The sequence below is a fragment of the Homo sapiens genome, chromosome 12, assembly GCF_000001405.40.
Source record: "Homo sapiens chromosome 12, GRCh38.p14 Primary Assembly".
Lineage (NCBI taxonomy): Eukaryota > Metazoa > Chordata > Mammalia > Primates > Hominidae > Homo > Homo sapiens.
In genome coordinates, this window is record NC_000012.12 from 121,967,247 (window position 1) to 121,982,695 (window position 15,449).

Genomic DNA, 15,449 nt, shown 5'->3' on the forward strand with positions numbered 1-15,449 from the left:
GACATTTCTGAGCAGAGTTACTGCATTTTCTATATTCCCAGTGAAGATACATGGGCCACCAAAGGATTTTTCCTTCTTATTTATTTACATGGAAAAACTCTTGTAAAAATATGCAAATTAGTTACACTTTGTTGTACATTTAATGAATAATCTGCGTTGAAAAGTGTAAAGTCGGGCCAGGTGAGGTGGCTCACGCCTGTAATCCCAGCACTTTGGGAGGCCAAGGCGGGTGGATCACGAGGTCAGGAGATGGAGACCATCCTGGCTAACACGGTGAAACCCCGTCTCTACTAAAAATACAAAAAATGAGCCGGGCGTGGTGGTGGGCGCCTGTAGTCCCAGCTACTCAGGAGGCTGAGGCAGGAGAATGGCATGAACCCGGGAGGCGGAGTTTGCAGTAAGCCGAGATCGCGCCACTGCAGTCCAGCCTGGACGACAGAGTGAGACTCCGTCAAAAAAAAGAAAAGTGTAAAGTCATAGGTTGTGAGATGTATTCTGGAAAACCCTGGACAACTGACCATGAAGGCAGGGAGGAAAGCTTCCCTTCTGTGTACCTGTTAGAGCTGTGCAAGGGGCCCCCTACCAGGGCTGGTGTGTGTGGATGCCCAGCTACATTAAATGTGGCTCTCACACTCAGAGATGGGTCCAGACACACAGGTCCTTCTGGCACACAGATCTGGAGGTGACATGTGAACGTGCCAGGCCTCTCTCGGGCCCAGCTACCTGAGTCTGAATATCCAATTATGTGTTCCTTTCTAGGTGGGACTTCAGATCTTACCAGTTGACGGCAATCCACATAAGACATCTGCTATTGTTTGCCACCCGAACGGGGTGGCCGGCATGGCCGTTTCCTATGATGGCTGCTACGCCTTCACTGCGGGAGGGCACGATCGCTCGGTGGTGCAGTGGAAAATCACCTTAAGGTACACGATGGGGCGAGAAGGAAGGTATCAAGTGTAAACTCCTTTTCACTCAGCAACAGTGATAGACACTGAACCCTACTGCGTGCCAGGCACTGTGCTAGGATGTCACAGGGCCTGGCCTTCAGGTTGCTCCCCGGTGGCATTGCTCACATTACTCTGCAGACAGGAGTTGCTGTCCTGTCCCATGGACCAATGGTGTTTGCAGTTCAGGCGATGTGACAGCACCTTGGGCTCACCCCTGCTCCCTAAAATGCTTCTCCCTCTGCTCCACATATCCACACCTGCTAGAAAGATCTAGGCCGACCCTCCAAAGCATATACTACGGAAATAGTAAGAGGATCATTTCAAGTGGTATTTTCGGCTCCTCTTCTCACCCTCCCTGCCCTGAATGGAGAACCTCTGCCTGAGGCGAGGCTGGAGAATTCTAGAGTTGAACATTGGAGAGTATGTGGACTTTGAGGTGAAAGGGATAATATGAGTTTGAATATGGGCCCACCCTCTACTGGCTATGGGGCCTAGGGCAAGCTTCTTAACGTCCCTGATCTTTAGATTCCTTGCATGCAAAATGAGGGTGATAGCATGTGAAATGGGGGTGATAATAGGAACTTCTGTAGGATCCCTGTAAAGATCAGGTAGTTTAATAGGGGAAAAGCACCTAGTACAGAGCAAAGTACTCGGCAAGTGAATGATTTCCTTTCGTCTCTTCTTCCTGTAAGGGCATTTGCTTATGAGCTCAGAATCTTCCCTAATAAAGAGGGGACAAGCACCCACACTGTCCTCTCATCTACCCAAATCCGGCATGCTGCCGCAGGGCAGAGTCAACCATGTGGCAGCCGGTTCCTGTTCCTGACCACTTCTCCAAGCCCCTGCGCTGCCTGTGGCTCGGCTGGGCCTCTCTCGGTAGTGTGACGTTGAGGAGCAAAAACAGCTCAGAGGCACCTTCCTTCCTCGGAAAACAAACCTGATTCCTGGCTGCCAGCACAGTGTACCCCCTGCCATCTGCCAAATGCACATCTTTCTTTTTATGGCAGATATTGAAGCTTCTACTCTTAACCTGAATATGAGCAAAAATAGCCGGTTAAATCTGCTTTGGAACCACGGTGGTTTGAGATTGCACTTGCAGCTCTGACTTCCACCCCACCTTCACCTGAGAGAGCAGATCTTGGGAACTTGAGGATTTAGGAGCTGGAGGTGAACTCTCCTATTGAAAAGGGATCATGGCCTCAGAATGGCTGCCTGGTTCCTTGCTCCCTGGCTTGTTGCCTGGAACCATGGGGGCAAGCCACACCCTGTGGGGACAAGCAGAACCTTCCCTTCTATTTGTTGTTGTTGTTGAGACAGGGTCTGGCTCAGTCGCTCAGGCTGTAGTACAGAGGTGTGATCATGGCTCACTGCAGCCTCGAACTCCTGGGCTCAAACAATTCTCCTGCCTCAGCCTCCTGAGTAGCTGGGACCACAGGCATATGCCAATGTGCCTGGCTAACTTTAAAAAAATTTTTTTTGTCGATACAGAGTCACACCAAGCCTAGGCTGGTCTTGAACTCATGGGCTCAAGCCTTGGGCACCTAAAGTGTTGGGATTACAGATGTGAGCCACTGCACCCAGCTAGAACCTTCCTTCTGAAATGTTTGTCTTCTTCTCAGTCGTCGTGGGATCTGGAATGGTAGAAATTTAAGAAGAAGAAAAAAAGGCCTCTGCTTTCCAATAGCTTTCGCCTGGCCAGAGTCCAGGCTTCTGAGAATTTCAATTTAATCTGTGGTGGGGACAAAGGATCATTATAAACTAATTATCACTTCATTGCTGCTTCTGGTGACTTAATATGATCAGCACTTCACTAATGGAGAGAAATGTAAAAAACCTAAACAAGTAAACAAACAGAATTTCCTACTAGAGTTACTGATGATGAGTTGTAGGGGAGATAAAGATGATAAATCCCCTCACATTCGATCATTTCAGTCAGTGCACCCCTTGGCCCCAACTGCTACCATCACAGTCTATGGCGCTTCTGCCCCGGGAGAGCCCCTTCCATCCCCTCTCTCAGGGTTCATTCCGCACGCCCCTTCTTCTCCTGCTCCGTGCTAGCATGCACCCTTTCTCTTCTCCTTGTCTGGCATCTGTTTCCAAATCCTGCATTACTTTTTTGTGCTCATCCTCCCTGCCTCCTGTCATCCTGCTGCCCTGCTCAGCCAAGAGCAGAGAGACCCCGATTCGAATCCTAGCTAATCACTACCTGCTTGCTGGATGACGCCAGGCAAGTCCCTTCACTTCTCGGAGCCTCAGTTCCTCCAACTCTTAAATGGGACTGCTACCACCAAGTTCAGACCATTCCTCCTCCTCCTCATCCAGGGAGCGTTTACAGAGCACCTACTGTGTGCTTGCCACAGGGCTGAGCTTTAGCTCCTTTCCAGAAGTACTGTATGGATTGCTGGGTACAGAGCAGGTTTTCAATAAGTGTCATTTCCCTTTTGTGCCCTAATGACCTCTTTTCTGTTGCAAGTGTTAGAAACACAATTTAGGCAAAAGGGAATGTATGAGAAGGTCGTTGGGATCGCATGTAGCTACACCACAAGAAGGTCACGGACAGCGGCACACTTGGTGCTCACAGCACTTGCTGTCTACTTGGCCCTGCTGTTGGCTTCATTCTCTGCAGAACTGGGTTTCCTTACTCAGCAGGAAGATGGCTGCTGACAGTTCCCAAATTTCACAAATTATAGCTCTCACCACAGAGAGAGGGAGTCTCTTTCCCAGCTTGTGTTGGAGAAATGCCAGTACAGCCCCCTGGCCCCTCTGGGGTCAGTTGACGGTGGCCAGGAGGTAGGGGATGTAGGGGAGCTCTGAACACCAGAGCCGGGAGCTGCAGGCTGTTCTCAGAGGACCAGGTGCTCTTGCTAGCCTTTCCCCTCAGGGGCTCCTGCTGGGGACAGGCTCCTCTGTGTCACTTCTGGCCTTTACCTGGCTCTGCTCCAGAGCCACATGGCTAAAAGTGGCCTTGCTGCTCACTGAGCTTGTTGGGATTGGGCCTGGGCCTGGCCTGGAGGCCACAGAGAGGGAGCCCTCTCAGCTGGACACTTGCCTCCATGGCAAGTGCTGAGAAGTGGGGAAGACCCTTGCTGGAGGGGCCCTTGCTGGAGGGTCTTGCTGGAGGGGCCCTCAGGCACCCCTGGAGAATACCCAGGTTCCTCAGACCTTAAGCCAGTCCGTGGGCTTGTGCATGCCTCAGTGAGAGGACCCAGGACAGTGCATGGCAGACTCTTCCTAAGAAAGGTGTAGGAGTGTGCTGATACCCATTTCCATGGCCGTAATAATCCCAACCACTTGTGCTGAGTTTTCTCAGGGCCGGGGCCTGCACTGAGTGAGTTCCATGTATCATCTGATTTCATCCTGACAGCCATCCTGGGAGCCAGGCACCAATATTATCCCCATCAGACACATCAAGAAGCTAACTCCAAGGGGTCTGATGACTGCCCAAGCAATGGAGGAGGCAGTGGAGCTGGGATTCACAGCCAGGGCTTTCTAAGTCCACCCCACACCTTAACAAACATTCATTACAGGAGGAAAATAAAGGACTTTTGTCTCCAATCTTTGTGATATGGTTTGGCTCTGTGTTCCTACCCAAATCTCATCTTGAATTGTACTCCGATAATTCCCGTGTATGGTGGGAGGGACCTGGTGGGAGATGGTTGGATGGTGGGGGAGCAGGGGGTGGTTTCCCCCATGTTGTTCTCGTGGTAGTGAATAAGTCTCACAAGATCTGATGGTTTGATAAGGGGAAACCTGTTTCACTTGGCTCTCATTCTCTCTTGCCACTGCCATGTGAGACGTGCCTTTCACCTTCCGCCATGATTGTGAGGCCTCCCCAGCCACATGAAACTGTAACAATAAACCTCTTTCTTTTGTAAATTGTGCAGTCTCAGTTATGTCTTTATCAGCAGCATGAAAATGGACTAATATAGTACATTGGTACCAGTAGAATGGGGCACTGCTGAAAAGATATCTGAAAATGTCAAAGTGACTTTGGAACTGGGTAACAGGCAGAGGTTGGAACAGTTTGGAGGGCTCAGAAGAAGACAGGAAGATGTGGGAAGGTTTGGAACTTCCTAGAGACTTGTTGAATGGCTTTAGCCAAAAGCCTGATAGTGATATGGACAATAAGGTTCAGGCTGAGGTGGTCTCAGATGGAGATGAGGAACTTGTTGGGAACTGGAGCAAAAGTGATTCTGTTATGTTTTAGCAAAGAGACTGGTGGCATTTTGCCCCTGCCCTAGAGATTTGTGGAACTTTGAACTTGAGAGAGATGATTTAAGATATCTGGTAGAGTAATTTTTTTTTTTTTTTTGAGATGGAGTCTCACTCTTGTCACCCAGGCTGGAGTGCAATGGCACGATCTTGGCTCACTGCAACCTCCACCTCCCGGGTTCAAGTGATTCTCCTGCCTCAGCCTCCTGAGTAGCTGGGACCACAGGTGTGTGCCACCATGCCTGGCTAATTTTTTGTATTTTTAGTAGAGAAAGGGTTTCACCGTGTTAGCCAGGATGGTCTTGATCTCCTGACCTCGTGATCCACCTGCCTCGGCCTCCCAAAGTGCTGGGATTACAGGCATGAGCTACCGCGCCTGGCCTCTGGCGGAAGAAATTTCTAAGCAGCAAAGCATTCGAGAGGTGACTTGGGTGCTGTTAAAGGCATTCAGTTTTATAAAGAAAGCAGAGCATAAAAGTTTGGAAAATTTGCAGCCTGACTATGTGATAGAAAAGAAAAACCCATTTTCTGAGGAGAAATTCAACCCAACTGTAGAAAGTTGCCTATGTAACCAATAGCTGAATGTTAATCTGCAAGACAATGGGGAAAATGTCTCCAGGGCATGTCAGACATCTTCTTGGCAGCCCCTCCCATCACAGTCCTGGAGGCCTAGGAGAAAATGGTTTCTTGGGACAAGCCCAGGATCCTCATGCTGTGTGCTGCCTAGGGACTTGGTGCCCGGCATCCCAGCCACTCCAGTCATGGCTGAAAGGGGCCAACATAGAGCTCAGGCTGTGGCTTCAGAGGGTGGAAGCCCCAAGCCTTGGCAGCTTTCATGACGTGTTGAGCCTGCCAGTCCACAGAAGTCAAGAATTGGGGTTTGGGAACCTCTGCCTAGATTTCAGAAGGTGTATGGAAACACCTTGATGCCCAGGCAGAAGTTTGTTGCAGGGGCGGGGCCCTCATGGAGCACCTCTGCTAGAGCAGTGTGGAAGGGAAATGTGGGGTCAGAGCCCCCACACAGAGTCTCTACTGGGGCACTGCCTAGTGGAGCTGTGAGAAGAGGGCCACCATCCTCCAGACCTCAGGATGGTAGATCCACTGACAGCTTGCACTGTTTGCCTGGAAAAGCCATAGACACTAATGCCAGCCCATGAAAGCAGCCAGGAGGGAGGCTGTACCCTGTAAAGCCACAGGGATGGAGCTGCCCAAGACCATGGGAACCCACCTCTTGCATCAGCGTGACCTGGATATAAGACATGGAGTCAAAGGAGATCATTTTGGAGCTTTAAGATTTGACTGCCCTCCTGGATTTCAGACTTGCATGAGGCCTGTAGCCCCTTTGTTTCGGCCAATTCCTCCCATTTGGAATGGCCGTATTTACCCAATTTTGGTACCTCCATTCTATCTAGGAAGTAATTAACTTGCTTTTGATTTTACAGGCAGAAGGGACTTGCCTGTCTCAGATAAGACTTTGGATGTGGACTTTTGAGTTAATGTGAAATGAGTTACGATTTTGGGGGACTATTGGGAAGGCATGATTGGTTTTGAAATGTAAGGACATGAGATTTGGGAGGGGTCAGAGGCGGAATGATATGGTTTGGCTGTGTCTCCACCCAAATCTCATCTTGAATTGTACTCCCATAATTCCCATGTGTTGTGGGAGGGACCTGGTGGGAGATGGTTGGATTGTGGGGGCAGTTTCCCCCATGCTGTTCCCATGGTAGTGAATAAGTCTCATGAGATCTGATGGTTTGATAAGGGGAAACCTGATTCACTTGGTCTCTCATTCTCTCTCTTGCCACTGCCATGTGAGACATGCCTTTCACCTTGCGCCATAATTGTGAGTCCTCCCCAGCCATGTGAAACCGTAAGTCCAATAAACCTCTTTCTTTTGTAAATTGCCCAGTCTCGGGTATGTTTTTATCAGCAGCATGAAAACAGACTAGAATACCGTGTCTGCGTTTATTTATTAATTCTTACAACAATGCTGTGAGGCAGAATCGTCTCATTTTATAGTGGAGGACACTGATGCCAGGGGGGTTAAGTCACCTCCCCAGAATCACACAGCTTGCCAGGGGTAGAGCCGGGACTTGCACACATGTCCGTGTGACTCCACACTCTGGACACTTCCCCACTTCCCCACTGTGGTCTACATGAGGTGTGCTTGATGTCGCAGCAAAAAGGCTAATCACCCGATTAGCAGTAATCCAGTTAGTGGATTATTAGAATGATTTCTGATGATTAGCCTTTTGTAGGAGGCAAAGTTGGTCTCATACAAAAGTAGGTTTTCTTACCATTGAAAGGGCCTATTTTTGGAAAGTCTGACCTTGAGTTAGAGAGCAGAGGGTTATTTTTATCTGACTGGCATGGGTCCCTGTGGTCTCCTGAGTTTTTATGGAAGCAATTAGTGTTGGCAGTTCACTTGTACAATATCCCATTCTTTTGACTCTGATCGTTCGTGGATCTAAAGTTACGGGTAAGGCTGCTCTGTCTGGGAGGATTGTGGTTTCAGAACACAGGATGCCTCCCCCACCCCCAGGAGAGACATGTTCCCCAAAGATTGCAGACAAATTGCCAAGCACCTGCCCTGTCATCATCAAGAGAATATCACCATAATTAAGGCAGATGCCCTCTACCTCTGAGTTCCACGCTTGAAATGGAATTTTCTGGTTTGGGCTTCATTTTAAAGGACCTTTTCTTAACAAGTGTGTAGAGACCCTAACTGTATCTGTGCTGTGATACCCTTCAGAGGGCCGCAGTGCTGTGCGGACCACCTTCTGAGCCATGCTCATGCTTGAGCGCTTTCTAATAGAGACATTTCTGTTGTTGTTCCAGTGTCCTGGAGGCAGCGGTTTCTCTTGGGGGTGAAGACTTGACCCCATTCTATGGTCTGCTGTCTGGTGGCCGGGAAGGAAAATTCTACAGGGTAATTGTCCCTAGAGTAAACACCTCCTGGTAACATCTAGTTAAGTTTGTAAAGCAAATGTGCCCAGGGTTAACCTTGCTTTATTCCAAAGCTTTGTTCCCCCATTCAGCTTAAAAGGTACTTTCTAGAAAATGTCCTTGAAGTGTTCATGGATGCTTCAGACTTAAGCCTAAATGTGTGTTGTGTTTCCGTTGTATTCCTACATAGGAGCTAGAAGACTACTTCTACTATTCTCAGCTCCGCAGTCAAGGCATCGACACAATGGAGACCAGAAAGGTGTCAGAACACATTTGCCTGTCAGAGCTTCCTTTTGTCATGAGAGCAATTGGCTTTTACCCATCTGAAGAGAAGGTAGGGAGAACGAAAACAAGAGCAGCAACGGGATGTGCTATTTATAAAAAACAACCTCTGGGAACAATCATTATAGGTCAAAGCAAAAATTGCACATTTTTCTTGCATAAATGGATCAGAAAGATGGTTCTGGGCATTTCAGATGCACTCCTGAGTAACTGCCTTATGGTAGAGATATGCTGTTTCTGAAAGGCGCACTCCTCATGGAAGTTTGATGTTGGTTGGAGCATGGGTCTTGCAACCATGGTGTTGAATTGGACGGACTGGGGCTGCCGTCTCAGCCCTGACCCTTGCTAGGTGAGGACCAGCCTCGTAGGATTTTTTTCTTTTTTTTTTTTTTTGAGGTGGAGTCTCCCTCTGTCACGCAGGTTGGACTGCAGTGGCACAATTTTGGCTCACTGCAACCTCCACCTCCTAGGTTCAAGCGGTTCTCCTGGCTCAGCCTTCCGAGTAGCTGGGATTACAGACACCCACCACCACGCCCCGCTAATTTTTGTATTTTTAGTAGAGACGAGGCTTCACGATGTTGGTCAGACTGGTCTCAAACTCCTGACCTCAAGTGATCTGCCCGCCTCGGCCTCCCAAAGTGCTGTCATTACAGGCATGAGCGACCACTCCCGGCCAGCCTTATAGGATTTGAGGAGGGGATTGATGCCTACGCAGCCCTGGGCACGGTGCTGGGTGCACAGGAAGAGCTCAGTGAATGGAGGGAGTTATTATCCTTGTTAGTCTCGCTGTCTAGTTGCTCTTAACCTAGCAGGTGTTAATGGGGCACCTTTGGAAGCTGGGTGCTTGTCTGGACTGTGGAGCACGGAGGGTGCAGCCGTCCCTCATGACCGTGCTGCAGAAGCACCCCTAGATGCAAGAAGCCCCAAGCAGAGTCAAGAAGCATCTCAGGGAAATGTTCCTCATGTAAACTGTTGTTTAAAGTGCAGGTAAGCCGGTTGTGGCAGCTCACGCCTATAATCCAAACACTTTGGGATGCCAAGTTGGGGAGGATCACTTGAGCCCAGGAGTTTGAGAGCAGCCAGGGTAACATAGAGAGATCCTATCTATACCCATCCCCCCCAAAAAATTGCCCGGTGTGGTGGCCCATGCTTGTGGTCCCAGCTGCTCAGGAGGCCATGGCAGGAGGATCACTTGAGCCCCAGAGGTGGAGGCTTCAGTGCCCGTGATTGTGCCACTGCACTCCAGCCTGGGAGACAGAGCGAGACCCTGTCTCAAAAAAATTAATAAATAAATAAAGTACAATTTATTGTATTTCTTCTGACTTTTATTAATATTTTCCTGTTTTATACATATTTATATAATCATATATATAATCATGCATCATTTAATGTTGGGGAGATGTTCTGAGAACTGTGTCATTAAGCAACATCGTTATTGTGTGAACATCATAGAGTGTCCTTATACAAACACAGATGGCAGAGCCTACTACACGCCTGGGCCGTATGGTAGAGCCTGTTGCTCCTAGGCTATAAACCTGAACAGCATGCGGCTGTACTGCATATTGTAGTCAGTGGTAACACAGTGGTATTTGTGTATCTAAGCATATCTAAATGAAGAAAAGGTACAGTAAAAATATAGTATTATGACCGTATGGAACCACCATCATATATGCAATCTGTCATTGCAATATTATTAAGTGCAGTGTGACTGTATAGATGTATATAGTTTTAAAAAACTAATTGGCCTTGGCGCAGTGGCTCACGCCTGTAATCCCAGCACTTTGGGAGGCTTAGGTGGGTGGATCACCTGAGGTCAAGAGTTTGAGACCAGCCTGGCTAACATGGTGAAGCCCTGTCTCTACTAAAAAATACAAAAATTAGCTGGGCATGGTGGCGCACGCCTGTAGTCCCAGCTACTTGGGAGGCTGAGGCAAGAGAATCGCTTGAACCCAGGAGGCGGAGGTTGCAGTGAGCCAAGATCACACCACAGCACTCCAGCCTGGGCGACAGAGCGAAACTCTCCTCAAAAAATAAAAAACTGGCCGGGTGTGGTGGCTCAGACCTGTAATCCCAGCACTTTGGGAGGCCAAGGCGGGCGGATCACGAGGTCAGAAGATCGAGACCATCCTGGCTAACACGGTGAAACCCCATCTCTATGAAAAATACAAAAAAAAAATTAGCCGGGCGTGGTGGTGGGCGCCTGTAGTCCCAGCTATTCAGGAGGCTGAGGGAGGAGAATGGCGTGAACCCGGGAGGCGGAGCTTGTAGTGAGCCGAGATTGCGCCACTGCACTCCAGCCTGGGTGACAGAGCGAGACTCCATCTCAGAAAAATAAAAATAAATAAATAAATAAAAATAAAATAAAATAAAAACAAACAAAAAAACTAATTGATACCACATGGAATATGTGTTTGTATGCTATATTTTCCCTTAATAGTGTATCATAAGTATTTTCCATTATATTAAAAATTCTCCAAGGCCGGGCGCGGTGGCTCACGCCTGTAATCCCAGCACTTTGGGAGGCCGAGGCGGGTGGATCACGAGGTCAGGAGATCGAGACCATCCTGGCTAACACGGTGAAACCCCGTCTCTACTAAAAAAATACAAAAAATAAGCCGAGCGTGGTGGCGGGTGCCTATAGTCCCAGCTACTCAGGAGGCTGAGGCAGGAGAATGGCGTGAACCCGGGAGGCGGAGCTTACAGTGAGCCGAGATCGTGCCACTGCACTCCAGCCTGGGCGACAGAGCAAGACTCTGTCTCAAAAAAAAAAAAAAAAAAAAAAAAAAAATTATCCGAAAACATGCTTTTTAAAGGATATATTTTAATTTTTTAACTTTTTCTAATTTAGAAAATAGAATTATAAAGAAGAAAATAGAAATTACTCAGAGATCATCACTGTTATTATTTTGGTAGATATCCTATCATTTTATATATGGACATAGATATATCTATATTTTTAAACAAGGAATTGAGATTATATGGTATATATATGTATATACCTATATATATCAACATTATACAGAGGATGCGTGTGCATATACATATGTATCGACATTCTCAGTAACTTGTTTTGTGAGCAAGGTGGTAAAAATTCCTTGGCAACATGCTTTTAAAGGCTGCAAACTTAATTGGACCACTCTCCAGTTGATAGCCGTGTGAGTTGTCTAAAGTAGCTGGTGTCAGAGACACAGCTGTGTGGAGCATCTCTGTGCATGGTTTTTGCACACTTCTCTCATTATTTTCCTGGGTCATAGTGCAAGAAGTAGAATTACTGGGTCAGAGAATATGAAATTGCAGACCCTATTGCTAACCTACTTTCCATAAATGTAGCATTTTACGTGCCCATCTTCAGGAATCCACAAGTCCTGAAACCCAGCTAAGACTCAGTGTTCATGTTGGCTGAGAACACTTGAGCAATATAAACTGTGGTCCCAGTCCCTGCTCTCGGCTTCAGTGGCCTACCCAGAATCACCTGTTTTGTGTGCTCCAGGTACACAAAACTCATTTCTCGAGAAATTAGTTATCAGAGCCCTTTAATCCCTTCTGAGTCTTGAACGAGGACCTTAAAATCACCAGGTACTGTTGTAAGCTCCTCTAAAGGTCTTTGGCTGATGTGCATTTTGTCATAGCACATTGCTAGAAACATAAGCAACTCTGAGAAAGTTCGTACAGCCCACGTGGTGTTCCAGAGAGTGGCATTTTCCAAAGAGTGTTCCCTAGAACATGGCTTCCCAAACTGGGAAGCTGCATCGGAGCATTTACTGACTATTCAGCTCCTGGGCCCTGCCCAGGTCCAGCCAATCGGAATCTCCAAGCACAGGCTTGGGATTCTCTACATCTCCTGGGGGTGCTCACTGCGGAGCCGCCGACATTTGAAGAGAGGGAGGGGCTCAACACACTGAGTGAGATCATTAGTCAGCTTTCTTCTTCTTTTTTTTTTTTTTTTTTTGAGACAGCATCTTGCTCTGTCACGCAGGCTGGAGTGCAGTGGTGTGATCTCAGTTTACTGCAATCTCCGCCTCCCAGGTTCAAGCGATTCTCCTGCCTCAGCCTCCCGAGTAACTGGGATTACAGGCATGCACCACCATGCCTGGCTAATTTTTGTATTTTTTAGTAGAGACAGGATTTCACCATGTTGGCCAGGCTGGTCTCGAACTCCTGACCTCAAGTGATCCACCTGCATCAGCCTCTCAAAGTGCTGGGATTACAGGCGTGAGCCACCGTGCCCGGCCTCAGCCTTATTCTTTGGTTACAAGTTACGGAAACCTAAGTCGACCCATTTTCTGGTTCACAGAATTCCAGGTCCAGAGGGAGTGGGGATGTGCAGTGTAACCTAAGCCAGGCCCTCATCCATGTCGCTGGGAAGGGTCTCTCTCTTTAGGCCTCGCTTTCTGCTGTGTTGTCTCCCTCCGTGTCCGGCCCCCAGTCCACATCCAGTGGGATTCAATGCCACAGGCAGGAGCCTGTCCCCTTCCCAGAGCTGCAGACATTGTCACTGTCATCACTGCCATCAGGCATGTGCCACTCAGGTTGGCCAGGCGTGGGCACTCTCCTTCTTGGAGTGTGGGGTGGGCTCAGTCCCCTTTAACCATGGGGACTATGACCAGATGACAGCTAAGACGTGGGCAGGTGTCTCAGCCTCTTCATGCTTCAGCTTCCTCATCTACAAAATGAGTGCAGCAGTCGCACCCAGGACCACTCTGAGCAGGTGGCGTGGCTTCCACGGAATTCTGAGCAAGGCAAAAAGTGGGCCCCTCTTCATTCTCACTTCCTTCTTTTTTTTTTTTTTTTTGGAGACAGGGTCTCACTGTGTCACCTGGTCCTCCAGCCTCAGCCCTCCAAGTAGCTGGGACTACAGGAGCGTGCCACCATGCTCTGCTAATTTTTCAATTTTGGTAGAGATGGGGTTTCTCCATGTTGGCCAGACGGGTCTCAAACTCCTGAGCTCGAGCCATCCACCCTCCTTAGCCTCCCACAGTGCTGGGATTCTAGGCATGAGCCACCGCTCCCTGACCTCATTTCCTTCTCATTTTACATTAGAAATGTTGCCTCAGATGTCTCACTGTTCCCACGGCCGCTGCACTTCATCTGCATGGTTCTGTCTGTGGTTCTGCTTCTTCTGTTTTTAGTCCAACGTTTAACCAAATACCCACCTCCTCTGGGTGATTGGTTGGCCTAACACTTGGTACTTCAAGATGGAGAAAGGGAAGAAGCACATCTTGGTGCAAACTAGCTGGCCTGGCTGCAGTTCCCAGCCTCCTTGGCGAGCCATCCCAGCGGTGGTCTGAACGCCGGAGTCTGCTCTGTAGATGAGGCTGGAGCAGGCTGCGCTCTCGTAGGGGTGTCGTGAGGACTAGAGAGCGAGGGTCTGTGCGGTGCCCAGCGCACAGAGGTGCTTACTCAGTGGGGGGCTCTTCCCTCAGTATTTCCTGTTGAGTCAGCATGTTCCTCTTAAGAGGCGATGGGATCGCCCCTCATTTTCTTATTTTTAATTTTATTTTGTAAAATTCCAAGCAAACACAAAAACAGAGAAAAGAATAAAATGAACTCTTGGCCAGTCACGGTGGCTCACACCTGTAGTCCTAGCACTTTGGGAGGCTGAGGCAGGAGGATCGCTTTAGTAAGCCCAGGAGTTCAAGACCAACCTAGGCAATATAGGGAGACCCTGTCTCTACAAAAAATAAAAAAAAAATAGCTGTAGTGGCATGTGCCTATGGTCCCAGCTTCTCGGGAGGCTGAGGTGGGAGAATTGCTTGGGCCTGTGAGGTCAAGGATGCAGTGAGCCGTGATCACGCCACTGCACACACACACCCCACACTCCTGCATATCCATCAGTCAACTTCAGCTTCAGCAATTCTCAGCTCCCGTTTGGTCCAGACCCACTGACCTGCTCCCGCCCCATGGGTTATTCTGAAGCAAGTTCCAGGCACCCTTGCCTCACAAGGAGGCCTTTCAAACCCAGGTGCCCCTTCCTCAGCCAGGGAGAGGTTCTCCTTCACAAGGCCTGCAGGCACCTGAGGTTCACACTTCTATGAAAGTCACCAAAATGCCATCGTGGGCCGTGCCTCTCGCAGTTCCTGTGGGTGAGGAGTATTCCGGCAGCTCTCTGATGCCTGCAGGTCAGTGCTAACCATGGAGGCCACATTGTGGAGGCTCCAGGGTCAGGCAGCTCTGGGTTTGAATCCTGACTGTGACCACGTGCCAGTTACGACTTGGTCAAGTTTCAGAACCTCTCCATGCCTCAGTTTCCTCATCTACAAAATAAACATAATAGTAGTACCTACCTCCAGAATTATTGTGAAGATTAACTGAGTATCCGTTTCGTACAGTACACGGCACACGTTAAATGTTTAAAAATGTCATCTGATATTTTTGTCTTTGTCATGATATCCCCATCTGTGGATCCGTGATTCCAGAAGCCCTTTATGAGAATGTTTCTCTGACCTTGTGCTTCTTTGTGTATAATACCCTTTCCAAAATCTAAAAGTTTATATTTTCTTGATTTTCTGGTAAAGATACTTTACATAAATGTCCAAACGCCATCAAATTGATGGCAGTCTTCTCACTTGTTCAGGATTTTTTTTTTTTTAAGAGGCAGTGTCTCACTCTGTCGCCCAGGCTGGAGTGCAGTGGTGTGATCACAGCTCACTGCAGCCTCGACTTCCTGGGCTCAAGTGATCCCTCTGCCCCAGCCTCTCTAGTAGCTGATATTATAGGCGCACATCACCACATCATTCAGGATTCTTGATTTTTTTTTTTTTTTGAGACGGAGTTTCACTCTTGTTGCCCAGGCTGGAGTGCAATGGCGCCATCTCAGTTCACCGCACCTCCACCTCTCGGGTTCAAGCAATTCTCCTGCCTCAGCCTCCTGAGTAGCTAGGATGATAGGCATGCGCCATCTTGCCTGGCTAATTTTGTATTTTTAGTAGAGACGGGGTTTCTCCATGTTGGTCAGGCTGGTCTCAAACTCCCGACTTCATGTGATCCACTCACCTCGGCCTCCCAAAGTGCTGGGATTACAGGTGTGAGCCACTGTGCCCAGCCAGGATTCTTGAGTTTAAT

The 15,449-nt window shown here is 48.5% G+C and overlaps 1 protein-coding gene across 2 annotated transcripts in view, besides 3 other annotated features; it reads left to right on the plus strand.

The window, feature by feature from the left end:
* Nucleotides 1-15,449, plus strand: part of CFAP251 (cilia and flagella associated protein 251) — an 85,328-nt gene that overhangs the window by 48,655 nt on the left and 21,224 nt on the right. The window contains exons 17-19 of one of the 2 annotated variants that reach the window (NM_144668.6): nucleotides 760-923; nucleotides 7,998-8,088; nucleotides 8,296-8,439. In NM_144668.6, coding sequence (NP_653269.3) covers nucleotides 760-923; nucleotides 7,998-8,088; nucleotides 8,296-8,439 — 399 coding nt within the window. Of the gene's footprint in view, nucleotides 1-759; nucleotides 924-4,311; nucleotides 4,824-7,997; nucleotides 8,089-8,295; nucleotides 8,440-15,449 lie in introns of those variants that run through there. The other variant, NM_001178003.2, reaches the window with a different exon arrangement.
* Nucleotides 3,915-4,414: an enhancer, noted in NCBI's record as "H3K4me1 hESC enhancer chr12:122409067-122409566 (GRCh37/hg19 assembly coordinates)". NCBI's record gives its function as "activates a minimal SCP1, AML or CMV promoter by ChIP-STARR-seq in naive H9 embryonic stem cells {active_cell/tissue: H9 hESC(naive)}" and the evidence as "EXISTENCE:reporter gene assay evidence [ECO:0000049][PMID:30033119]".
* Nucleotides 13,260-13,339: an enhancer, noted in NCBI's record as "active region_7192". NCBI's record gives its function as "activates an Ori minimal core promoter by ATAC-STARR-seq in GM12878 lymphoblastoid cells {active_cell/tissue: GM12878}" and the evidence as "EXISTENCE:reporter gene assay evidence [ECO:0000049][PMID:35858748]".
* Nucleotides 13,360-13,409: an enhancer, noted in NCBI's record as "active region_7193". NCBI's record gives its function as "activates an Ori minimal core promoter by ATAC-STARR-seq in GM12878 lymphoblastoid cells {active_cell/tissue: GM12878}" and the evidence as "EXISTENCE:reporter gene assay evidence [ECO:0000049][PMID:35858748]".